Source organism: Homo sapiens, chromosome 9, assembly GCF_000001405.40.
Source record: "Homo sapiens chromosome 9, GRCh38.p14 Primary Assembly".
In the NCBI taxonomy this organism is placed as follows: Eukaryota; Metazoa; Chordata; class Mammalia; order Primates; family Hominidae; genus Homo; species Homo sapiens.
This window is the reverse complement of record NC_000009.12, coordinates 130882112-130905160: the sequence shown is the minus strand read 5'-3', so window position 1 is coordinate 130905160 and position 23049 is coordinate 130882112. Positions and strand designations below refer to the sequence as shown.

Sequence of the window (23049 nt, the reverse complement as noted above, 5' to 3'; positions counted from 1 at the left end):
CTCCAAAATGATCAAGGCTAATGTATTTTTCCCCCTTTGAAAGTAATCAGGTTTTTGAAAAATAACAAATATTGATAAACTACCAACCCCACATCACAATCAGAGGCCTGAAACCAATCTAAATTTTTTTTAAGTAATAAATTTTTCAAATTGGAAGAGTAAACAAGACAGAAAAGGGAAAATTTTCTTCCTTACCAAGGATCCCTCAGTCCTTGTCTTCATCAGTTGATTCAGTTGCATGTCATAAAAGATGAGCTTCTGCGAATCTTCTGTTCGTTTTTTCATAATAGTGTTGATGATGCCCTTCGGCCCTCTGGGGTCAGGGTCAAGGCTGCTTGCCTCCTCCTCCAAGTCCTGCTTGGTCCTCACCCCTGCAAGGCGAAGCCAGCAGAGCCTGGACTGTTTTCCCGTTTTGCAGATAAAGAAACTGAGCCCAGAGCCAGGAATCAGGAGACCCGGGGTTCGGGTCCGCTGGGTCTCTAAAGTGTGGTGGCTGGACCCCCCTGGGCTGGGTTTCCCCTCTCAGGCCGAGGAGCGGGGAGGCAGGAGAGGGAATGTGGAAAAGCTGGGGGGAGGGATAGAGACCGCCTAGACCCAGGGGCAGCCCCAGGCACGCCCGAGAAGGGACTGCGTGCGTGTGAGCTGCATGGACACACCCGGGTGTGGAGGGGCAGGTGCGCTTGCACGCGTGCACAGCAGTATGTGTGAGAGCACGTGCGTACGTGTATGCACTCACGTCCAGGTGCACGTGCAGTGTCTCGGTGTCTGCTCACACATGCAACACCAGTGGGTGTACCCGTGCCCCCCGTGCCCACACCTGTGTGCACCCCTGCGCAGGCGACTCCCTCCTGAAGCACAGCGGCATGAGGTTCACCACCAAGGACCGTGACAGCGACCATTCAGAGAACAACTGTGCCGCCTTCTACCGCGGTGCCTGGTGGTACCGCAACTGCCACACGTCCAACCTCAATGGGCAGTACCTGCGCGGTGCGCACGCCTCCTATGCCGACGGCGTGGAGTGGTCCTCCTGGACCGGCTGGCAGTACTCACTCAAGTTCTCTGAGATGAAGATCCGGCCGGTCCGGGAGGACCGCTAGACTGGTGCACCTTGTCCTTGGCCCTGCTGGTCCCTGTCGCCCCATCCCCGACCCCACCTCACTCTTTCGTGAATGTTCTCCACCCACCTGTGCCTGGCGGACCCACTCTCCAGTAGGGAGGGGCCGGGCCATCCCTGACACGAAGCTCCCTGGGCCGGTGAAGTCACACATCGCCTTCTCGCCGTCCCCACCCCCTCCATTTGGCAGCTCACTGATCTCTTGCCTCTGCTGATGGGGGCTGGCAAACTTGACGACCCCAACTCCTGCCTGCCCCCACTGTGACTCCGGTGCTGTTTGCCGTCCCCTGGCCAGGATGGTGGAGTCTGCCCCAGGCACCCTCTGCCCTGCCCGGCCAAATACCCGGCATTATGGGGACAGAGAGCAGGGGGCAGACAGCACCCCTGGAGTCCTCCTAGCAGATCGTGGGGAACGTCAGGTCTCTCTGAGGTCAGGTCTGAGGCCAGTATCCTCCAGCCCTCCCAATGCCAACCCCCACCCCGTTTCCCTGGTGCCCAGAGAACCCACCTCTCCCCCAAGGGCCTCAGCCTGGCTGTGGGCTGGGTGGCCCCATCCTACCAGGCCCTGAGGTCAGGATGGGGAGCTGCTGCCTTTGGGGACCCACGCTCCAAGGCTGAGACCAGTTCCCTGGAGGCCACCCACCCTGTGCCCCGGCAGGCCTGGGGTCTGCAGTCCTCTTACCTGCTGTGCCCACCTGCTCTCTGTCTCAAATGAGGCCCAACCCATCCCCCACCCAGCTCCCGGCCGTCCTCCTACCTGGGGCAGCTGGGGCTGCCATCCCATTTCTCCTGCCTCTGGAAGGTGGGTGGGGCCCTGCACCGTGGGGCTGGACTGCGCTAATGGGAAGCTCTTGGTTTTCTGGGCTGGGGCCTAGGCAGGGCTGGGATGAGGCTTGTACAACCCCCACCACCAATTTCCCAGGGACTCCAGGGTCCTGAGGCCTCCCAGGAGGGCCTTGGGGGTGATGACCCCTTCCCTGAGGTGGCTGTCTCCATGAGGAGGCCAACCCTTGCCATTGACCGTGGCCACCTGGACCCAGGCCAGGCCCGGCCCGGCGAGTGGTCAAGGGACAGGGACCACCTCACCGGGCAAATGGGGTCGGGGGGACTGGGGCACCAGACCAGGCACCACCTGGACACTTTCTTGTTGAATCCTCCCAACACCCAGCACGCTGTCATCCCCACTCCTTGTGTGCACACATGCAGAGGTGAGACCCGCAGGCTCCCAGGACCAGCAGCCACAAGGGCAGGGCTGGAGCCGGGTCCTCAGCTGTCTGCTCAGCAGCCCTGGACCCGCGTGCGTTACGTCAGGCCCAGATGCAGGGCGGCTTTTCCAAGGCCTCCTGATGGGGGGCCTCCGAAAGGGCTGGAGTCAGCCTTGGGGAGCTGCCTAGCAGCCTCTCCTCGGGCAGGAGGGGAGGTGGCTTCCTCCAAAGGACACCCGATGGCAGGTGCCTAGGGGGTGTGGGGTTCCGTTCTCCCTTCCCCTCCCACTGAAGTTTGTGCTTAAAAAACAATAAATTTGACTTGGCACCACTGGGGGTTGGTGGGAGAGGCCGTGTGACCTGGCTCTCTGTCCCAGTGCCACCAGGTCATCCACATGCGCAGATGTCTGCAGCGCTTCCTTCTGCCGTGGGCCCAGGCTGGACAGGACCTGGTCCCTGCCCTCTCGGTCCTCAGCTGGACGCAGATACAGCCAAGAATCAGGCAGTGGCAGCCTAGTGTGGCCGGGGTGGTGGCTGGAGCAGGCCAGGTGCGGGGCCACAAGGGGCAAGATGTGGGCAAAATGACCACATGAGATTCAACGGGAAATCCCTTCTTGGCTCCTCTTCCCACCATCTAGAAGCCAAGGGAGCCCACCCAGACCATCTGGGTTCCCAGAGCACCCTGTCATATTGCAGGGGCTGGGTGGGACCCGAGTTCTCATCCCAGGAGCCCCCCACCGACAGGCCCCAGGCAGGAGCTACCAGCCTCCCCATGCCAGTGACTGCGCCAGCGACTGCTTAGAAAGTGCCAGCACTTTCTGATGTGTCATCAAACAAACTCCTGGTGAGTGTGAAGTTAATGGACTCACAGATGTGTGGGTGCAGCAGGAGGCACCAGGGCCCTCGTGCCAGGGCTTGGCTGTGGAACAGATGCACCATGGCTGGGGCCTGGCGAGGGGCCGGGGGCAGGTGCAGGTGGCCTGTGAGCCTGTGGTCCAGGTCCAGGTCCCGGCAGCATCTGTCCTCAGTGGCTGGCTGCACTGGGGATGCCTGTCCCTTCTAGAGCCCTGTTACTGCCCTAGAGCACCGGCCCCTGTCCCAGACCAGGAGAGGGCACATGGCCCTACCAAGCACCGGCTGAATGGGCACGGAGCTTGACATGGTGGGGAGGGCCCAGGCCAGCGCACCGGCCCCACCCTCCCCAGGGGCACCTTCAAAGGCTGGCACTGGGGAAAAACGGTCCCTGCGCACCTGCTCCGGGCCACACCCTCTCACCCTAGCCCTGCAGAGCCTACGGTCTGATACCAGTGCAAATGGCTCTCATCTGAGACAGGAGGATGGGGATGCTGGGAGAGCCCTGGGCGAGGGACAGCTCGAGACCTGTGGGCTGAGTGACCAGGCCAAGGGCTAGCATGTGCACAGGGTCGCCTGGGACCCACGGGCCCCAAACCGTCCCCTGGGACCCAGTTTGAGGGTGGATGCCTGCAGCCCTCCATCCCACAATGCCACCTGACTGAGCCTCCTCCTGCTGCTTCACTTGAGGGGAGTAAGCTGAGTGGGAGGGGTCTCTGCATCGCCACACTGGGACCTGGAGGCAGCGCACCTGCGCCGTTGCTTCTCCACGTGCACAGGTAGGTTTTGTGGCTCAGCCAGTGGCCTTCCTCCTTTCCCCTAAACTTCACACATATCTCAGAGAGTTACACCAAAGGCCACGCAGCTGACTGCCTGAGCACCAAGGTCCAGAGGATGGAAGGAACCTTGGTTTCCATGCTGGTGGCCTCAGCACATTCAGCTGGAGAACAGCAAAGGAACAGAGCTGTGAGCCATTCTCAAACAGCTTTCCCCTGCAGCTGCGTGTAAATTGGTTTTATAATGTTTGTCTTTGGGACAAAAGCTGTATCGCCAGTGCCTACCTCCTTCTGGTGCCCCTAACCCTTCCTGCCACCTGTCCTCGTCCACACAGGCCTCTGGCTGGCTTGGCTGGGGCCAGAGCCCTGGAAGCTGGGAGCCAGGGTCTCTGGAGGCCCTGTCACCCAGGGGCGTGTCTGAGCAGGCAGAGATTTGGAGGATTGTTGAACCATCTCAAACCATGAGGACGCTGGCTCCAGGGAGGGGAAGGAAGAGGAGAGGTACCGTTTGTGTGAGATGGGGGGACGGGACATAAAGAACGCCTGTGGCCAGCGGCAGACCCGTCCTGTGACTTCAGGAGCAATGTACCGGCAGGAGGACCCAGCAGGGGACACACAGAACCCAGAACAAGGAGACAGGACACTAAGCTTTGGCCTCAGCGGACCGGGCTTCCCCAGGGCCTCCATTTCTTCATCTGCTTTCAGAGACAAGGATGTCCCCAAACTGTGTGGCCCAAGCAGCCGGCAGGACTTGGCAAACCCAGAGGGCTGAGGTCGGGCCTCGGTGGGATTTGTAGGGAGTGTTGGGAGCTCTGGCTCAAGGCTGGCCACGTTGGCCCCTCATGCGCTGACAGGTGTGTCTGACTCGGGCCACACAGCACTGGCCAGGGCTGCAGAGGGAGCTCAGAGGGCCAGCACAGCGACTGGTGGAGGAAGCCTGGTATGGGAGCATCGCTAGGCGAGGCTGTCAGCACTTGGTGTCTGTGCGTTCTGTCTTTAATAAAGTCTCATGGTGACCCAGCTCTGGTCTCTGCCTCCAGCCGGACTCCAAGCCTCGTGTCAGAGCTTGAGTGGATCAGATACCCACGTGTTCCAGGACTGCCTCTCGCTCTGTCTCCCCTGAACTCCTCTCATCATTTATTTTTAGAGACGGTCTTGTTCTGTCACCCAGGCTGGAGAGCAGTGGCACCATCACTGCCCACTGTGGCGAACTCCTGGGCTCAAGCGATCCTCCCACCTCAGCCTCCTGAGTAGCTGAGACTACACGTGCGCACTACCACACCCAGCAATTTTTTTTTTCTACTTTTTGTAGAGACGGGGTCTTAGCTATGTTGCCCAAGCTGGTTTTGAACTCCTGGGTTCAAGCCACCCTCCCGCCTCTGCCTCCCAAATTGCTGGGATTGCAGGCATGAGCCACTGCACCCAGCCACCATTTTCATTAGAGCAGCCAAAAGGCATTTCCCAGATAGCTCTGGACCCACTAGGGCTGCTCAAGACCCTCTGACTGGGCCAGTTCTGGGCTTTGCAAAGATGGCCTGGACCTGGTCAGGCGGACGCAGGGCCTGCCTCCTGCACAAGCCGCGCCCAGTGGGGTCGGTCCTCCTGGGGTCTGGGCTCTGGAGGATGAACCCGGGTCCTGCGGCATCGGTGCATCCCTCCCGGGTCCCCGGGGTGATAAACTATCCTGTGGGTCCCTGTGGCTGGGGACAGAGTTCCAAGGAACTGAGACACGTTATTGAATGAACAGTCCCCCATGGCTATTTATTCATAACATCAATTTGAGGCTTACGGATAAAACAATCCCTGGAGTTTATTTAATAAAATCCAGTATTTATCGAGTGCCTGTGTGGGAGGTGCCGCACGGGGCCAGTAGAAAGAGCGGCAGTGGCCTTGCCCTGTGCTCGGCCTCTGTCTGGCACCTGTCGGGGGCGGGCAGCCGGGGAGTCTCACACCCCCCCGTGCGGCCGGAGGTTTTCAAGTCCGGGTTCACAGAAGACGAATCCCACTCTTCCCTCCACCATGGACTTTCACTCAGCCAGCACAATGCCCACTGCTCTGACAGCTTGAGGGGGCAGAGGTGGGGGTGCCAGAGGAGGGAGGGCAGAGGTAGGGGGGCAGAGGAGGGAGGGGCAGAGGTGGGGGGTAGAGGTGGGGGCAGAGGAGGGAGGGGCAGAGGTGGGGAGGCAGAGGTGGGAGGCCAGAGTTGCGGGTAGAGGTGGGGGCAGAGGAGGGAGGGGCAGAGGTGGGGAGGCAGAGGTGGGAGGCCAGAGTTGGGGGTAGAGGTGGGGGCAGAGGAGGGAGGAGCAGAGGAGGAAGGGGCAGAGGTTTGGGGGGCAGAGGAGGGAAGGGCAGAGGTGGGGGGACAGAGGTGGGGGCAGAGGAGGGAGGGGCAGAGGTGGGGGGACAGAGGTGGGTGGGTAGAAGAGGGAGGGGGCACAGGTTGGGGGCAGAGGTGGGAAGGGCAGAGGTGGGAGGGGCAGAGGTGGAGACGCCTGGGGATGGGACTCCTGAGCCAGGCCACGGAAGTCACAGGCCATGGCCACCTGCCTCCCCACGTGCCACACCCATGCCAGGTGCAGGTGTGCCCAACTCAACCCTTTTCCCGCAACCACCAGACCAGCCTGAGGCAGCTCCTGGAAAGGTTCAAGGACTCAGTCACAGAGGTCCTCAGACAAGGGCTCATGCAATTCCGCGAGAAATGGTGCCCAACAGCATGGGAAGCGGCTTCCCAGGGCAGGAGGGGTTCGGCCAGCAGAACCGGAGCGGCAGTTGCCAACAGCCCAGGGGACCCGGGCTTAGATGGGGGCCACCACCCTGCGCCCTCCCTAGCAGCAGCAGTGAACACTGCCTAAGCGGGCACCATGCCACCCCGACAACCCCACCCCACCACACGGGCACTGCTGTCATGCCCAGCCAGGCGGAGGATCTGAAGCTCAGTGAGGTGGAGGCTGGCTGTGGCTGAGCCGGCTGTGGAACCCAGTCCGGGAGTGACATGTGGTTAAAGGGGTCTGCGAGGCCGGGGCCTGGCCTTAGCTCATCCAGGCGTTGCCACTCCAGTTCCAGCCTCCTCACTTTGGGAATCCCAGGCAGGGGCTGCCGGTCAGCTTGGCCATGCGGGCACCTGGCCTGGACCTATGTCAGGACAGCTTCCCAGGGAACCCCACAGGCTTCGAGGTGGTCCACGGACTCCACCCCCAGAGCGGCTTCCTGCACCACCAGCCCCACCACCCTCACGCCTCGCCTCCCTGCATTTACCCGACAGCAGAAAAAGCCTCCAGCGCTGGAAGCCGCCCCGATGGGTACTGCCACTCTTGGACTGATCTAGCCCCGGCCACCCTGTGCATCCAGGCAGCCCAGACCCTGCCTATCTCGGCTGCTGGTGGCAAACAGTGGCACAGTTGTCACCCCCAATTGCTCAAGAGGTGGGGGAACCCAGATGCTTCCAGGGGCCCAGGAAGGGCATCTGAAAGCAATTTTTCCGTCCAGGAGTTCCAGGGGTGGAGGGGACCAGGCAAGTCCCTGGAGTCAGAAGGTTTGGCACCAAATCCAACGCCTGACTGGGCTCCAGGCACCCCGGTCTGAAGGGGGCAGGCGGGGACCTGAGGCTGGGGAACATGTGGGCCACGTGGGGACCCCTCATCCTCACCCCAATATTGCTCCCACCCCAGACCAGCCCCTCACATGCAGGACATTCTGTGACCACCTCTCAGAGCCACAGACCTCAGTCCCGCAAAAGGACTCCGGGCCCTGGTGGTTTCAAAGCAGAACCTTTTCTGGGAGCTCAACATGTCAAACACAGCAAAGTGGGGCTTGGCCTGAGGGGCACAGGGGCGCGTGCAGGGCACAGGGGTGTGTGCGGGGCACAGGGGTGCATGCAGGGCACAGGGGTGCGTGCGGGGCACAGGGGTGCCTGCGGGGCACAGGGGTGCATGTGGGTCACAGGGGTGCCTGCGGGGCAGAGAGGTGCCTGTAGGGCAGAGGAGTGTCTGTGGGGCAGAGGGGTGCGTGTGGGGCAAAGGGGTGCCTGTAGGGCAGAGGGGTAGCCTGTAGGGGAGTGGGGTGCCTGTAGGAGAGGGGTGCCTGCGGGATTGGACCCCATGTTGCCTTCCCCAACTTCCATGGCCATTCCTGAGGAATTCTGCAAAGCACAGCTTGGGAACTTGAACCTCGCTTTACACCAAGGGAGCACTGAGGCACCCAGAGGGCAGGCATCCGGTCCAGGCTCATAGCACGGTAGAGACCCACCCTGGGCGGCACCCCATGGATAACTGGTGCCCGCTGTCAGAATCAACCAGCACTAACCAGGGAGACAGAAGGACACCACACCTCCCGTCTCACGAGCACACACACGTGTACGCACGTGTGCACATACTCATGTGGGGGCATACACACACATGCACACACAGGACAGGGGCACCTCAGGCCATCGGAGGCAGCCCTGGCCTGGGGGATGGAAGCTGGTTCTGGCCAGCAAAGCTCAGTCATCGGCTTCAATCCGCAGACCCTCCGCCCGAACCTGGGCGCTCAGCCCCGAAGTGGAGGATCGAGATTCCAGTGCCTTCCTCAGGTCTCTGGGGAAGTGTCCACAGGCTCTCTATTCCCATGACTTCTGATCCCCCAGCAGCCGGGATGCAGGGGTAGGTCGGCTGGGTGAGGGCCCCTGGAATGGGGGAGGCCCTCTGTGCTCAGTTCCTGACAGTGGTGGGGTGGGGCTGCCTCATCACCCCCCTGCCTGCTCTCAGTGGAGGGAGAATCTCTGCCGGGCAAGGAGCAGAGGCTGGGTCCTCCTGCTGGCCTCCCAGAGGTGACCCTCGGTGACAGTAGGGGGCCACCCAGGGTATGCGGTGGGAGGGGCTGGGGGCCACAGGCAAATGCTCCACTGCTGTCCTGGGCATCTGCCGTGCCCCCTTGGTTGGTTCCTGGGTAACAGGCCGCTGAGGGCTCCACCTGCCGGGGAGGTGCACCTGGCTTAGCCGCGCAGCCCGGTGCCTGTGAAACACGGGCCTCATGGGTGTCTGTGGCTTTCCTGCCCATGAAAGCCATCCTGCAAGCTGGGCAGTAGGTGTGTCGGGTAGATGTCCACCCACCCCATGTCCTCTCCGGAGCGTGAGGTGCCAACCCAGCAAAGGCAGGACCCTTAGGGTGAAGGGTGGGCTTGGAACCCCCGCCAAGGGACTCGAGGGTCTGTGCCCGCAATTTGCAGTTAATGATGCTGTCTGCTCTCCTCCAAAGGGCAGCCCGCCTGCCCTCTCATCAGACTACATCCTGTGTGAGGTTGTTTTTATCAACGCGGTCAGCACTGCCCCTCTTCAACAACAGCGTCCCCAATGGAATCCCAGGGTCAGGAATGCGCAGCAGGCAGTCGGCAGAGCAGCAAGCGCACCGCGGGCCATATAAAGCAGGGAGAGCCCAGGGGCCATGCCTCCTGGACGAGGACCCAGAGCAGCTCTGCCCAGCCCAGCCCCGGAGCCCAGCGATCCACCAGCCAGCCTTCCTGGGAGCAGTCCCAGCCACACGGTGAGCATAGCTGCCCTGTCCCCAGCAGGAACCCCAGCTCAGGCCCTGCCCAGGCAGGAGCCAGGCATGGGCAGTCAGAGGGCACACAGAAGCACAGGGAGGGAGTGCCCGGAGAGGGGACACCAGTGCCTCCCCTGCCAACAGCCCAGAGCAGCACAGATTGGTCACGGCTGCCCTGCCAGGGCTGGGACCCAGCCTCACCCGTGCTTTTCCTGTCCCTTCCTGGCTGTGGGGCCTGAAGCCCTGACTCGCGCTGGGGCCGCCTGTCCCGTGATGAGCATCCCCACTTTCTACCAGATTCTTGAAGGGGTGCATGAACCCCTAAAAGGGGTGAAGGGCCACTCCAGGGCCTGCTCTGTCAGGCTGTCTCCTTTCTAGACACCCAGAGGCCACTCCCGGGTGGATTTATCCACCAGGATGCAACGGTCCCTGGTCCACATCGCAGTCAGCAAAGTGCTTCCTATGGGGAGGAGGGAATGGGCTGGGCCGCTGCAGAAAGTCACCTCGTGGAAGCCCCCACTCTGCCTGCGCCCTGATGGAAAGGTTTTCCTGGCAGCATGAGGGAGGTCACTCCATCCCTGGGGGACGAAAGCTTAGAAGAACTGGATTTGGGTAGAAAGTGGGGTTGCATGTATTATTTTTTTAAAAGCTTCCTGGCTGAGCTCGCTTCTTTGAAATGTGTTCGAGGGAGCCATTTCTGGAAAGGGCTCTGGGGACTCCTGTACTGTCTTCTCCAGGGCCGGTGCTCTCTAGTCTAGCCTCAGTTTGACTCTGCGGAGGACAAGCCAGCTCCAGCTCCCCCGCGGTCATTGTCAAAAAGGTTTTCTTTGCCAGACAAGGGAGCAAGTGTTACCAAGGCAGGTTCATTACAGGAGGCTGGGTTTCAGATCCCCCGAGTGCCATGTGGAGTACAGAGGAGGGAGTTAGGGCACGCCTTCCTGAGTCAAGCCCAGTTAGACCTGGGATTGAACTCTAGCTCTGGCACTGATAAGGCCATGAGATCTGGGGCAAGTCACCTCAGCTGTTTGAGACCGACACCACCCCTGTGAAATAGGAGGGTTGGGAGTACCTAGCAGATATGTATGCTTCTTGAAGAAGCCGTCTGGCCATTAGAATCATGAATCCAGAGCCTCCACTTTCTGGCTGTGTGGCCTGGGCACAATCTCAGTTTTTCTGACAGTTTTGTTGCCTGAAAAAGTGGGACTGGCCGGACCTACCAAGCAGGAGTACTATGAAGATGAAGTACAATCACATGTGTGAGCTCTTGGCTCAGAGCCTGGCAGACCTACGGTGCCCAGGCCCCAGTGGTGTCCACACACTCCTTCCCAGGTGGGTGTCCGAATTAGGCCAGGACCATCCAATCTGTTTCTGGCTTTCAGGAGCAACTCGTTCCCACGTGAAAGAGACATTAGCAGGATGTCCCAGCTAAACAGCATAGCTAGACCCATTTATTATCCAGTTGAACACTAAGGGAGATTGATGCTTTTAACTTTCCACCCCATGGCTCTGCAATGATATGGCCATTTTATAATAAGAGAAAAATGAGCATACATTTGCTGACTCTCCCGGGGCCGCCTGGGCACTGCTCTGCCAGCCAGCAGCGGTGGATTTACGGTGCTAAGCTGCCCAGGCACGCAGATCGTGGGGACTGCAGGAGAAGAACCGGCCTAACTGGCACAATCACCTCCTGATCCTGCTAATAAAACAGTGGCCTAGTCCCAGCACTGCTCGGAAGCCGGGCTCAGCTGAGCCCCCTGCTCACATCTACGCTGCCAGCCTGTCCCGGGGAAACATTTTGGTGAGTTGCGCTTGGCCACGTGTGCAGCCTGTCACTCTGCCTCTCTTTCCTCTGGGTCAGATGGTAAGGCCTTACCCCCTGATCTACTTCCTCTTCCTGCCGCTGGGCGCCTGCTTCCCTCTACTGGACAGAAGAGAGCCCACAGACGCCATGGGTGGCCTCGGAGCTGGAGAACGCTGGGCCGACCTGGCCATGGGGCCCCGACCCCACTCCGTGTGGGGTTCCTCTCGGTGGCTGAGAGCTTCACAGCCACAGGCCCTGCTTGTCATAGCCAGGGGGCTGCAGACATCGGGCAGAGAGCATGCTGGCTGCAGATTCCGCTTCGGGAGGCAGGACGAAGGCAGTGAGGCCACCGGCTTCCTCCCTGCTGCGGGGGAGAAGACCAGCGGCCCGTTAGGGAACCTGGCTGAGGAGCTCAATGGCTACAGCAGGAAGAAAGGCGGCTTCAGCTTCCGCTTCGGTCGGCGGTGAAGGGCCAGGACGCCTTGGAAGGATTTGCTTCTTGGACTCACCCCCATTGTCTTCACTCCTGCCTTCTCCCCCAGTCTCAAAGACCACGACACCCAGATGATGTAGGCTTGGTTACGATGAACGATCCATGGTAGGACAGGTTAGGTGTGTGCTTACTTTTGATTTCCAACTTTGCTGAAGCGAAAAACTAGGCAGTGTCAAAAAGGAGGCTGTCTTGGAGCCTCGGTCGTCCCAGCCTCTCTCTTCCCCTGGGGCTTTGACTCCGAGCAGCCCCCTGGCCCCAGGGGCACGGAGCTGAGGCTGTGGCTGGGCCATGAGTGTGAATAGCAGAGCGAGGCAGCGGGCTGAGTGCTTACAGTTGGGTAATCAAAGTTGTGACAGTCTCTATAGGCACGACTGCGGCTGACATCAGAGTGCAAATGAGTGCATTCCACTGGGTACAGAGGATGGTTCTGAAAGTTAAAAATGGGAAAAAAGAACCCGATCCCCTTCTCCATGCCATGAGCACAAGATCCCCCTGGCAAGAAGCCCCTGCTGTGGTTTGCCTGCCCCTCTGACCGCAGCCCTTCTCCGCGGCCCAGTGTTAGCCCGGCCAGGAGTCTCCTGGGAGATGCGTTGGGAAGGAATCCCGTTTTTGCTATAGCAAGGTTGCATTTCACATGTTCAAAATCAGAATATGTCGTGTGTATCTTTTCAAATAAAAGTTGTGACAACTGCAAAACCATACTGGAATGCTGGCCTCCCCCACAGTCTGAGTTCTGGGTGCCTTGCCTTTCGGGAGATGGAGCTCCTGTTGACTGGACCCAAACACCCCTCCTCTAGATCCCTGTAACCGGCAGTCGGTCAAAGGGGCGGAGGAACACAGCACATGTGCTTTTCACTTCCACTCGGCTGCTCCTTCCCAGGTTTCCTAAGAGCAAGGAACATTCGGAAAACAACTTCTCTGCCCCGGGGAGAGCCCACGCTCAGCCGGGAGTGGCTGCAGGCCCGGGGCCAGGCAAAGCATCTGTTTCAAACGCGCCTTTGGTGTCTCCTGCATCCCATCCCGTGTCAGAGGCGGCGGTCGGATGCTGCTCACTCCCGGGCTGGCTTCCGCTGCTGAGATGAGAACTTACATTGATGTTACTATGGCAACCCCTCCCCTCCTCCTTTCGAGCTGCAGCTTGCCCCTGTTCACAATTGAATAATTTCCCATTGAGCTGTCACAATTAATTGGTGGATTTTTATTAGCCTTTTAGAACCACACTGGGCTGGGCCCAGCTTGGCACCTTGGAGTATTTCACAGTGTTTTCCATGCTATTAGTGACTTATACTCCTCAGTAGCAGCTCTCAATCCTTGGCAGCCAGAAAGCCACTTCATTAAGGGGTGACAGATCTGAGCCACAAAGAACCAACCTGACTGGGGAGCAGAATGGGTGCTGAGATGGGAGAGAACACCAGAGTCAGAACATCACCCGGTATGAAAGCTGCCACCTTCTCCAGGAGCTCCTCACCGCTTCCCCATCGCTTCCCACACAGAAACTAGCCCCCCAGGCTTGGCGCATGTGCCCTGAGTCTTAGGGCTGCTGTGATGGGGACAAGACAATGATTCCTGAGGCTGGTGGAGGGGTGGGGCACATTGTTCTCTTGGGCTCTGCCACTGTCTGAGGACAGAGTGGTTCAGGATGCCTCCTGCAAAGGGATGTTGTCACTGCTTGCTAACATGACACTGATGGGGACGGACACATCCCCGGGGTCCTTGCTGTAAGGACGGCCCTGGCACAGGGTGAACGGACAGATTCGTTCACCACAGGTGTGCACACACACCCCATTCTGCTTGGCTTAAGGGAGGGGGAGGCAGTAAGCTAGATCTATCCCTCCCTTGGCTCATTCACGCAAAGCAGCCAGAGATGTGCTCACCAGAGACCGGGTGAAACACAGCAGGCTGAGGGCAGAGGGACGCCCTGACGCACGGTCCCCTGGCCACTCGTCACTTGCCAACTTCTGCAAGTGAGCAAGGAGCCACCCACAGCCAGTACTTTAGAGAACACCGAGGCTGAGCCACCCTGCACATTCCACAGGCTCTTTGGGGATGCACTGGCTGGTTGTTAATTTAGCAGGATTAGATTAACCTTGATGGAAAAACCTGAGATAAAGAACACGGGGGCGGGGGATGCCTTCAAAGCAGTGGATATGCTGTCATTATGCTTTTATCACTTTAAAAAACCCAACAAAGCTATTCTTTCCAGTTTGCTTGTACACTTGAGCTCAGTAGCCCTGAAAATCCGAACAATCAAGCTGCTAAGGGCACTGCTGTCAAATCAACTCCCGCTGGGCTTGGCTAAGCCTCCTCTTTAACCCGGTGCCCCGCGGCCAAGCCCACCGTGTCTGTCAAGGTCTTTGGGCCTCTCATGCCACCCCAGCGCCCCCTCAGCCCTTGCTCTCTCCTCCACAGATAAGATTACCCCTCTCCAGGAGGGTGAAGTTGAGACTCCAGAAAACATTTATTTTGGAATCAGAGAGATGAAGCTCCCCTGAGCAGTGCTGGCTCACTCCACCTGGCCCGGCAGTTCTAACTACTCCAGCCCAGAGCACCTGCGAGCTGCCAGCATCTGCTCGTTACATTTATCCAAGACACAAGGCGGTCTTCATCTTGGTGTGTAGATCTAAAGGTATTTAGCTATCAAGATGAATGGAAAACATTTGTCTTTTCCTGTATGTTTGAAATACTAATAAAAATATTTAAGAAAAAACCCCAAACAAAACAGGCTCCTGGGGACAGTCAGCCATAGACAGCTGCTGTAGTAATCAAGAGGGAAGCCACCTCATCCTAACTTTGCCCCAGTGCCAAAGACGCTGCTTGACAGATTTCACTGAAGACCCCAAACCTGACATGGTACTTTCCAGCTTCTGGGTAGGGAGCAGGGGCATGCCCTGTGCTGCTGGTGCTCCTCCAATCCGCAGCTCCTTGGCCCCTCGGAAATGCCCTCCCAGAAAAAGAGCTCAGAGATTTCCCTGATTACAGCAGTGATATCAACTGGAGTGTGGGGGCAGGGGAGCAAGACATTAGGTGACCCCCAGGGACGAGGGCAGTGCTGACAGGGACACTGTGGTCAGCCTGGTCTCACCTAATGTCTTCTCGTACGAGGACGTTTAGAGTTTGCTTCCCCAGGGCACTCCGTTTAGAAAGGCCTCCTGAGATGATCTCTGCGGCCCAAGGAGCTGGGCTGGCTGTAATACTTGGCTGCTTCTCTTCCACTGTGGAGGGAGAAATCCGGCCCTGGGCACAGTTCTCTCCTGGTCCTGTTGGGGCTGTCTGCACTGTCTACTGATTAGACTGCCGTGGTAGGCACCAGCTGGTACATGTTGTGTGACCTTGGCCGAGCTGCTTGACATCTCTGAGCCTCTCAGCTTCCTTACCTGTCAGAGGAGGACAGTAACAAAAACTCTCTCATTAAAAAAAGTGGTGGGCTTGGCCGGGTGCGATGGCTCATGCCTGTAATCCTAGCACTTTGGGAGGCTGAGGTGGGTGGATCTCGAGGTCAGGAGATAGAGACCATCCTGGCTAATATGGTGAAACCCCGTCTCTACTAAAAATACAAAAAATTAGCCGGGAGTGGTGTCGGGCACCTGTAGTCCCAGCTACTTGGGAGGCTGAGGCAGGAGAATGGTATGAACCTGGGAGGCGGAGCTTGCAGTGAGCCGAGATGGCACCACTGCACTACAGACTGGGCGACAGTGTGAGACTCGTCTTAAAAAAAAAAAAAAAAAAAAAGTGGTGGGCCGGGCGCACTGGCTCATGCCTGTAATCCAAGCACTTTGGGAGTCCAAGGTGGGCGGATCATGAGGTCAAGAGATCGAGACCATCCTGACCAACATGGTGAAACTCCGTCCCTACTAAAAATACAAAAATTAGCCGGGTCTGGTGGTGCGCACCTCTAGTCCCAGCTACTCGGGAGGCTGAGGCAGGAGAATCGCTTGAACCCAGGAGGCAGAGGTTGCAGTGAGCGGAGATTGTGCCATTGCACTCCAGCCTGGGAGACAAGAGCGAAACTCTGTCTCAAAAAGAAAAAAGAAAAAAAAATTTTTTTTGAGACAGGGTCTCACTCTGGAGCTGGAATCCAGTGGCACGATCATAGCTTGCTGCAACCTCCACCTCCTGGGCTCAAGCAATCCTCCCACCTCAGCTTCCTGAGTAGCTGGACTACAGGTGCCACCATACCCAGCTTATTTTTGTATTTTTTGTGAGATGGGGTCTATGTTGCCCAGGCTGGTCTTGAACTCCCGGCCTCAAGCAATCCACCCACCTCAGCCTCCCAAAGTGTTGGGATTACAGGCATGAGCCACCTTGCCTGGCCTTTTAAGAAAATGTCCAATACCTTAGGCTGGTGTTTTGTAAATAATAACAATGGACCTCGAAGGCAGGACTTGAAATGACCTGGAAACTGCTGGGTGTGTGCACACAGGTGCATTTTTCTGGGGCTGGGATCCAGTTTTCATTAGGTTCTCAGGAGGTTTTGTGACCTAGAAAAGGTTAAGAAACCACTGTCTTGGAATGGCTAGACTAAACTAAGCTCTATAAGCTCAGGTGACACCCATGAAAGATCCCCATTTGGGAGATGAGAGGCGTCTTCCTCCACACTGGCCCAGTGTGACCAATTGGCCTCACGTGCAGGAGCCGACTCTGGACACGCAGTCTCAGCGCTTAGCGCTGGGAGGGCGGGGTGACCGTCCACATCTGACACGAGGAAGCGGCCACCAGCTGTGGCTGTCACCAGAGTTGTCCTATGTCTTCGTTCAGACCTGGGAGAAGCAGCCATTCAAAGGACAAGAGAAGCCCCAGGCTTGGTGGATCTGGTGGCCAGCTATGGTTCAACCGGCAAGGAAATTGGGGGCCCCAGCCTGGTTTTGTCCCTGTGAAATGAGAGGGGGAGAATCTTGTGCCTGGCACTGCTCGCAGTGGGCTCCACCAGCCCCGGCCCGGCTGGAGTTCCACCTGTCACCCACCGCACAGCAGTCTCGCTCCAGGTCTCTCGAGTGGAGCTTCACCAAGCTGTGATCTTCATATGCTCTGCTGAGCAGGATGTGCACCCCTGACAAACCTGCTGGCCTGATCAGTATCATTATCAGAGGGTGCTACTCACTTCCCAACCGCCCCTTTCCAAGCTGTCAGCTCGGTGGGGACTGAGCTGGGAAAGGGCGGTGGGGCTCAGTCTGGGATGGCCTTCCCAGGCCCTGAAGGCCCAGCACACCTCACACCTCCGCTCCTCCTCATCCACACAAAGACCTAAGACACCTGGCTCAAGGAACATGAGTGAGTAAGGGCACCTGGGGGCTTAGGGCGGAAAGGTGGAGAGAGAACAGGCGCACGTGGGGAGGGATTTGCCCTCAGCCAGCAAGAAGCACGGGACGTGACCTCCTCACCCCACTTCCACGTCGCTGCGACAGCCTGATACCGCCAGTCAGATGTGGCTTGTATGGTGGCACAGCCCACTCCCAGTGATGCCGGTGGGGCCAGGCTGCCAGCAGGTAAGCGCCAAGGGTACAGAAAGGGTCCGAGCATAGCAGGGCAAGTGCCTGAAAGATGGCTGTGGGCACCCAGGCCGCAGAGGCCCTGGGCAGCTGGGGGCAACCTGCCACCGTTCTGCTCTGTAAGACCTGATGCCGGGCCCCAGCCCCGTCGGGAAACCAGAACCCACTACATCCCGGCCCCGCCACCGCACAGGCTCAGAACAACAGGGCAGGATCACAGGCCGAAGCAATCTGCCAAGAATTCTAATGTAAACACTGATTTATTTAAAAAATACTACAGAGGACAGATTTGGATTCAAAAAAAACCACAGAGAATCATATACAGAAACAAAATGCACTGGACCCCGAGAAGCAGAGGGGGAGCCACCACAGGCCCCCGAGGGGGCAGGGCAGGACGCTATGCACACGCCACTTAGAAAAGAGCGTCTATAAAAGATGCATACCAAGAGATACGTGTAAAATATAGTGGCACATCACGTTAACAAAAGGAAGGGACCAGTACCTCATGGAGACAGGCAGTCGGGGGACCTGGGTGGGCGCTTTGCTCTGTCTTCAAGGCCGCTGTCGGTGACTAGTGCCTCCCTCCGGCTGCGTCACAGCCGTCGGGGGCAAAGAGGTGATGTGCTGTAAGAACCGCATAAAACGATCCAGAGGAAACCATTTCTATCAGAAAAATAAAGTACAAGTTTAGGTGATGAGCGTAAAGCTAGGGCCTGTGCGAGGCTGCTGGCACGAGGCGGTATGAAGGGGTGGGAAGGTGGCTTCTCCCGGCGTGAAGCCTCAGGGGCGGCCACCTGCCCACTGCTCTCGGAGTTAGCTGCTCTGTCAAGGTCCAGGAGACCCCGGGTCCCTGCCCAGAGTCACAGCCCCCGTATCTGGGCTCCGGCCTGGGGCAGCCTCGGGGAGAAGATGGCAGGCGTGCTCTGTGAAATACGTGAGGCTTTCAGGGGCTCCGTTTGTGGTTTTCCTAACCCTCCCTGATGACCCCCACAGAACATGAGGCTATGTCACTCACGGTAATTAAATAAGACATTCGCCCAGTTCAAGAGTGCAGCCAGGACCAGGACTGGCCAGGCCCTTTCCTCCCACCTGTGCGCAGGTGCCCAGTGGCAGCTCTATTCTCTCTCAGGGCGGCTACACAGAGGCAGGGCTTTGAAATGCTTCAAGAACTCAGAAAAGTGAAGGCTGTCTTGTTCCAAAGGAAAGGGCCTTGTAAGAATCTACTTTGTCTTAGAGGAGTGGGGGAGGGGAAGGGCCCTTTCAGGGCACCCAGATGTGTGAAAGGACGGTTCACTCTGGGCCCTTGCAGACCTGCCTGGGCCCAGTCTGGGGCTATTTGGCACCAGCTGTTCACCCCACTAGCCACTGCCTCCCTTGTCCCCTGCCTCCATTCTGCTGGGGGAGGGATGTCGGCAGTGACAGTGACCTGCCACCCTTGAGACTCAAGCTTTCTTGCCAGGATTCACAGTGCACGTCACAAGAGAGCAAGAGCTGGGCTCTGGGGATGTGGACAGATGGAAAGGACATGCCCCATGCCTCGATCCTTTTCAGCTCCCACCTGCCCAGGACCCAAAGGCTGGTTGGCTTTAGCACCCTGTTTTCCACCCAAATCAAGAGCTGTCCTGCACGTGAGGAAATGGCGAGTGCACCCCACCCCGGGCAGCAGCAGAGGGCAGAGTGACCAGCCGTGTGCATGCCCGTGCATGCCCTTCCCGAAATGCGGTTCTTGAAACATGTCTTCAGCACACGACGGGCAAGGCCAGGGAGTGCAGGCAGAGGGCCTGACACACAAGGCCTCAGTTCAGGCTTCCATTCTTGGAGAAGTGGAAGAAGGAGGCCCAGCCGGGGGAGGAGGGGCTCCAGAGAGAAAAAAATGAAAAAGACAGTCCACATCAGCCGTTCCCACCTGGCCTGGAGAGCTCAGTCTGGGGCACTAGGTGGGAGCGGGGCTGGCGGGTCCTGGCATGCCGACTGCAGTCCACGGAGCAGGAACTCCACAGATAAAATTCGAGGACAGAGACGGAGCGGGGAGGAGGAAGGTGCGGGAGGGCAGGCGGTGCAAACGTAGGTAGTAGAGCTGGACTCCACAGGGCCCTCAGCTCTGCCTGGCGCAGAGCTCCTGGGCCAAGGTGCTGACTCACTAGTCCCTTGTCAGCCACTGTCACGGGTATGGGCGAGCCCGCATGTGCTGCAGGCAGCTCCGACGGGCCTGACACCTGACCCCTGACTGCTGCTACCTCTGCACTATGTCACTGATTTCCTTCACCGAACTGAGGAGCTTGCTGAAGTCCTGAGTGGCCGCTGGACCACTGCCTGCTGTCGCCGGGCAGATCTGAAGCTCCCGGAGATTATTCTCCAGTTTGTTGATGGCCTCTCGGAAGGCAAACTTGTTCCTCATTTGCTGGATGGAATCCACATAGCTCACGCAGAACGTGTAGAGGTTTTTGCCGGCCTCCAGCACTGCGCTGTGGCTGGCCATCTGCTCGGAGTTCCTAGAGATGGCGAGGCACAGCGCCTCGGTGCTGTCCAGGACCACGCCCTTGGTGATGGCGCCGCTGGCGATCCGCTCTGGAGGCTGGCGGGTTTTCCGAAGAGACACTCGGGTTGATATGAGAGGGATGAAGGCGGTGGAAGACGGCTGGTCCCCTGCCAGGGCCGAGGATGCTGATGGCAACGTGGAGGGAACGGGGGCTGGGCTGATGGGGGTCCCCGACGGCTTGGCGGACTGTGGCTTTGGAGTGGCCGGGAGCACGGGCTTTTTGAGGCCCTCTCCCGGCTGGCTGGGCTTGGCAGCGTCACTGTTCACAGCATCAACCAGACTCGTGGCTTTTGTCTTTGCGCCCAGGACTGCCTCCCCGGCCGCCTCCTGGCTCGGGCTCTGCGAGGGCTTTCCTCCAGCCTTCCCTGCAGAGGCTGCTGGTGGGGGCGGCGGGGCAGGTTTGAGCCTGGACAATTTCCCCTTGTCCCTCCCTGGCGACTCAGAGGAGTGCTTGTGCCTCCTCACTCTGGACTCCTCGGCGGGGCCCTTGCTGGTGCCCCCTGGTGCACCTGAGCCTGCTTTGCTGGTGGGGGTCACTGGCTCAGCTGCAGCAGGGGTCCCTAAGGCACTGCCCTTTCCAGCTTCTTCCTTGTGGGGGAGGCCCGAGGCAGGGGCCACGGTGACCTGCCGCCGGAGGGGTTTTGGAGTCAGGTTGGGCGGGCTGGAGCCCGGGCTGGACTCCATGATGTCTTTGAAGACCTCATCAGCAGCTTCCTCATTCTTTTTCACCAGCCTGGGGGGAGGCGTTACTGTGCCTCGGGTCACCTGGTCAGACCTGTTCTCCCCTGCCCTCTTCCGAGGCAGAGCCGGCTTCTCACTTTTGTGCCCTCCAAATGTGGACGAGTCAAACTGTCTTCCCGTGGACTGCAAGTCCCGAGGCAGCGTGACTGACCTCCACTCCGTGTCCTTGGCCCCATGGGGAACGCAGGAGGCGGAGCAAGAGCGCAGGAAGCGCTTGCTGGAGCTGCCACCGCCCTCCTCCTCGCCGGTGGCTAGGCGGCTGCTGGTCAGCGTGCTGGACTTCTTCCACAGGTGGGGAGACCGGAAGCCTGAGCCCCCGGACTCCCGGAGGGCTCCATTGGGGACCCCAGCCCCATTGCTGGGCTTTGGGGACTTGGCTGGGTCAGCTGTGTCCAAGGGGGTGAAAGCCAGTGCCCCGTTGCTGATGTCTCGGCCCTCTTCCTCGCCGGCCCCTCTGCGCTCCGGCTGGCCGTCCATCTCCCGGAAGGAGCTGCTGCGTTTGGGAGGGGTTGGGGCTGTCTTCTTCTTCTTCTTGATCAAGGCGCTGAACAAGTTGGTCTTTTTGTCTTTGGGGAGAAGGCGCTCATCTTCATTCAGGCCGCCCTCCGGGGGACCTCGCTCTTTTCGAGGGAGCAATGGAGACACGGCAGGCTCATGGTCCAGAGGATCTGAAACGCAAGGGGAAGAGCTGACAACTCCAGACAACTCTAGAGGCTGACAGAGGAGAATCGCTTGAACCCGGGAGGCAGAGTGCCACTGCTGCACTCCAGCCCAGGAGACAGAGTGAGACTCCATCTCAAAACAAACAAACAAACAAACAAAAAAATTGTCAAAGGTCATCCCTTCTTATCTCCTGTGCATAATGGCCCATTGTCCCTTCCCCACTGTGGGACACAGCCCCTTATTCCCAGAGCTCCTCATAGGCCTCTCGGCTAGCTGGCTGGCAGGAGAGCCACAGGTTTTGACCCTTTGCTTGGCCTTGTCATCGTTTTTATACTCACTAGAGAGTGATGTGGGTGGGTGGGGGGCTGCTGCCTTCAAGTAAACCAGTGCAGGGATGAAGAGGCCAGGGCCGTCCAGCTTTTTGTTCCCATCTTCAGGGAAAGAGACCAAAGCGTGTGTGTGGTTTTTTTTTTTTTTTGAGTTGGAGTCTCGCTTGTTGCCTACGCTGGAGTGCAGTGGCACGATCTCAGCTCACTGCAACCTCCGCCTCCCAGGTTCAAATGGTTCTCTTGCCTCAGCCTCCCAAGTAGCTAGGACTATAGGCACCCGCTACCACGCCTGGCTAATTTTGTATTTTTAGTAGAGACGGGGTTTCACCATGTTGGTTAGGCTGGTCTCAAACTCCTGACCTCAGGTGATCCACCCGCCTTGGCCTCCCAAAGTGCTGGGATTACAGGCATGAGCCACTGCACCCGGCCCAAAGCCTTTCCTAATGACAATCCTAACAGCAATGATGGCTTTATTGAGAGAAGCGTGACACGTGCTTCACCTTTACAACCTCATCTGCATTCTCACAACAGTGCTGTAGCCCGGCTGGGACTTGCCTGGCCTCAGGGATGGTGGCATCAGAGCCGGTTATCAGATCCAGGCCTGTCTGAGCCCAGACGCTTGGGTGCTCCTCTGGGGAGCATGGGGTGGGGGCAGCCCCCAGCTTGTGCCACGGGAGCCTGACCTTGTGATTCGCTGACCTCGGCCTCCTAAAGTGCTGGGATTACAGGTGTGAGCCACCACGCCCGGCCAACAGTTTTTTAATGGGCACTCTTTAAATATGAATCATAGCTCATAAGAAATCTTTCTGGTAGCCAGGCGCGGTGGCTCAAGCCTGTCATCCCAGCACTTTGGGAGGCTGAGGTGGGCGGATCATGAGGTCAAGAGATAGAGACCATCCTGGCCAACATGATGAAACCCCGTCTCTACTAAAAAATGCAAAAATTAGCTGGGTGTGGTGGCACACGCCTGTAGTCCCAGCTACTCAGGAGGATGAGGCAGGAGAATCGCTTGAACCCAGGAGGTGGAGGTTGCAGTGAGCTGGTATCATGCCATTGCACTCCAGCCTGGCAACAGAGTGAGACTCCATCTCAAAAAAAAAAGGAAATCTTTTTGGTGTTGCCAAGCTCCTGCTAGTGAGTAACAGAATTCTCCCTCAGAGGTCAGCTTGCAAGAAGAGGTTTTCTGTTGGCACCTGTAACTCAACAGAGGTACCAGTATGCATTTATCAGAACCCAAGGCAGCACGCGGGACATCTGAATCAGGGAACACCAAAGCCCTCCCAAAACTTTAATCTAGTGGAAGGAGGCCAGGAGAGTGAAATTGCAATGAATTATGCACCACTCAGTTTCAGCACTGAGCAGTTAATTGACACCCTCGGCTCACCAAGAGATCACTATCAAAATACCCCTCAGATGAAACTGACGGGCGTAAATGAACATGACTGCTGATCACTGGGTTCTTAATAAGCACAGCGTTCCCAGAGGCCTCTCCTCCCTACTGCTCAGCCACCTGAAATCAGGAAAACCGATAAG

At 58.3% G+C, this 23049-nt stretch overlaps 3 protein-coding genes across 7 annotated transcripts in view, besides 5 other annotated features; 2 read left to right on the top strand and 1 right to left on the bottom strand.

The window, feature by feature from the left end:
- The window catches only part of FIBCD1 (fibrinogen C domain containing 1), a 38270-nt gene extending 35549 nt beyond the window's left edge, over positions 1 to 2721 (top strand). For all 4 annotated transcript variants that reach the window (XM_047423989.1, NM_001145106.2, NM_032843.5 and 1 more), the window contains one exon: positions 838 to 2721. In XM_047423989.1, the coding sequence (XP_047279945.1) occupies positions 838 to 1097 (260 nt within the window). In that variant the 3' untranslated portion in view covers positions 1098 to 2721. The remainder of the gene's footprint in view (positions 1 to 837) is intronic.
- A 5627-nt stretch (positions 2722 to 8348) lies between these two features.
- Positions 8349 to 12454, top strand: QRFP (pyroglutamylated RFamide peptide). Its single transcript, NM_198180.3, has 3 exons — positions 8349 to 8584; positions 9180 to 9464; positions 11323 to 12454. The coding sequence occupies exon 3, from the start codon at positions 11323 to 11325 to the stop codon at positions 11731 to 11733; it is 411 nt and encodes a 136-aa protein (NP_937823.1). The 5' UTR covers positions 8349 to 8584; positions 9180 to 9464; the 3' UTR covers positions 11734 to 12454.
- Positions 8854 to 9540: an enhancer, noted in NCBI's record as "H3K4me1 hESC enhancer chr9:133771008-133771694 (GRCh37/hg19 assembly coordinates)". NCBI's record gives its function as "activates a minimal SCP1, AML or CMV promoter by ChIP-STARR-seq in naive H9 embryonic stem cells {active_cell/tissue: H9 hESC(naive)}" and the evidence as "EXISTENCE:reporter gene assay evidence [ECO:0000049][PMID:30033119]".
- Positions 9541 to 10228: an enhancer, noted in NCBI's record as "H3K4me1 hESC enhancer chr9:133770320-133771007 (GRCh37/hg19 assembly coordinates)". NCBI's record gives its function as "activates a minimal SCP1, AML or CMV promoter by ChIP-STARR-seq in naive H9 embryonic stem cells {active_cell/tissue: H9 hESC(naive)}" and the evidence as "EXISTENCE:reporter gene assay evidence [ECO:0000049][PMID:30033119]".
- Positions 11017 to 11531: an enhancer, noted in NCBI's record as "H3K4me1 hESC enhancer chr9:133769017-133769531 (GRCh37/hg19 assembly coordinates)". NCBI's record gives its function as "activates a minimal SCP1, AML or CMV promoter by ChIP-STARR-seq in naive H9 embryonic stem cells {active_cell/tissue: H9 hESC(naive)}" and the evidence as "EXISTENCE:reporter gene assay evidence [ECO:0000049][PMID:30033119]".
- Positions 16345 to 16639: a silencer, noted in NCBI's record as "tiled region #3771; HepG2 Repressive DNase matched - State 17:Gen3', and K562 Repressive non-DNase unmatched - State 25:Art". NCBI's record gives its function as "represses a minimal TATA promoter and a strong SV40 promoter by Sharpr-MPRA in HepG2 and K562 cells {active_cell/tissue: HepG2 | K562}" and the evidence as "EXISTENCE:reporter gene assay evidence [ECO:0000049][PMID:27701403]".
- ABL1 (ABL proto-oncogene 1, non-receptor tyrosine kinase) overlaps positions 17486 to 23049 on the bottom strand; it is a 174633-nt gene continuing 169069 nt past the window's right edge. For both annotated transcript variants that reach the window (NM_007313.3, NM_005157.6), the window contains exon 11: positions 17486 to 21192. In NM_007313.3, the coding sequence (NP_009297.2) occupies positions 19478 to 21192 (1715 nt within the window). In that variant the 3' untranslated portion in view covers positions 17486 to 19477. The remainder of the gene's footprint in view (positions 21193 to 23049) is intronic.
- Positions 20632 to 21402: an enhancer, noted in NCBI's record as "H3K27ac hESC enhancer chr9:133759146-133759916 (GRCh37/hg19 assembly coordinates)". NCBI's record gives its function as "activates a minimal SCP1, AML or CMV promoter by ChIP-STARR-seq in naive H9 embryonic stem cells {active_cell/tissue: H9 hESC(naive)}" and the evidence as "EXISTENCE:reporter gene assay evidence [ECO:0000049][PMID:30033119]".

Coding starts and splice junctions, on each gene's coding strand:
- QRFP (NM_198180.3), top strand. CDS start 11,323: ATGGTAAGGCCTTACCCCCTGATCTACTTCCTCTTCCTGCCGCTGGGC.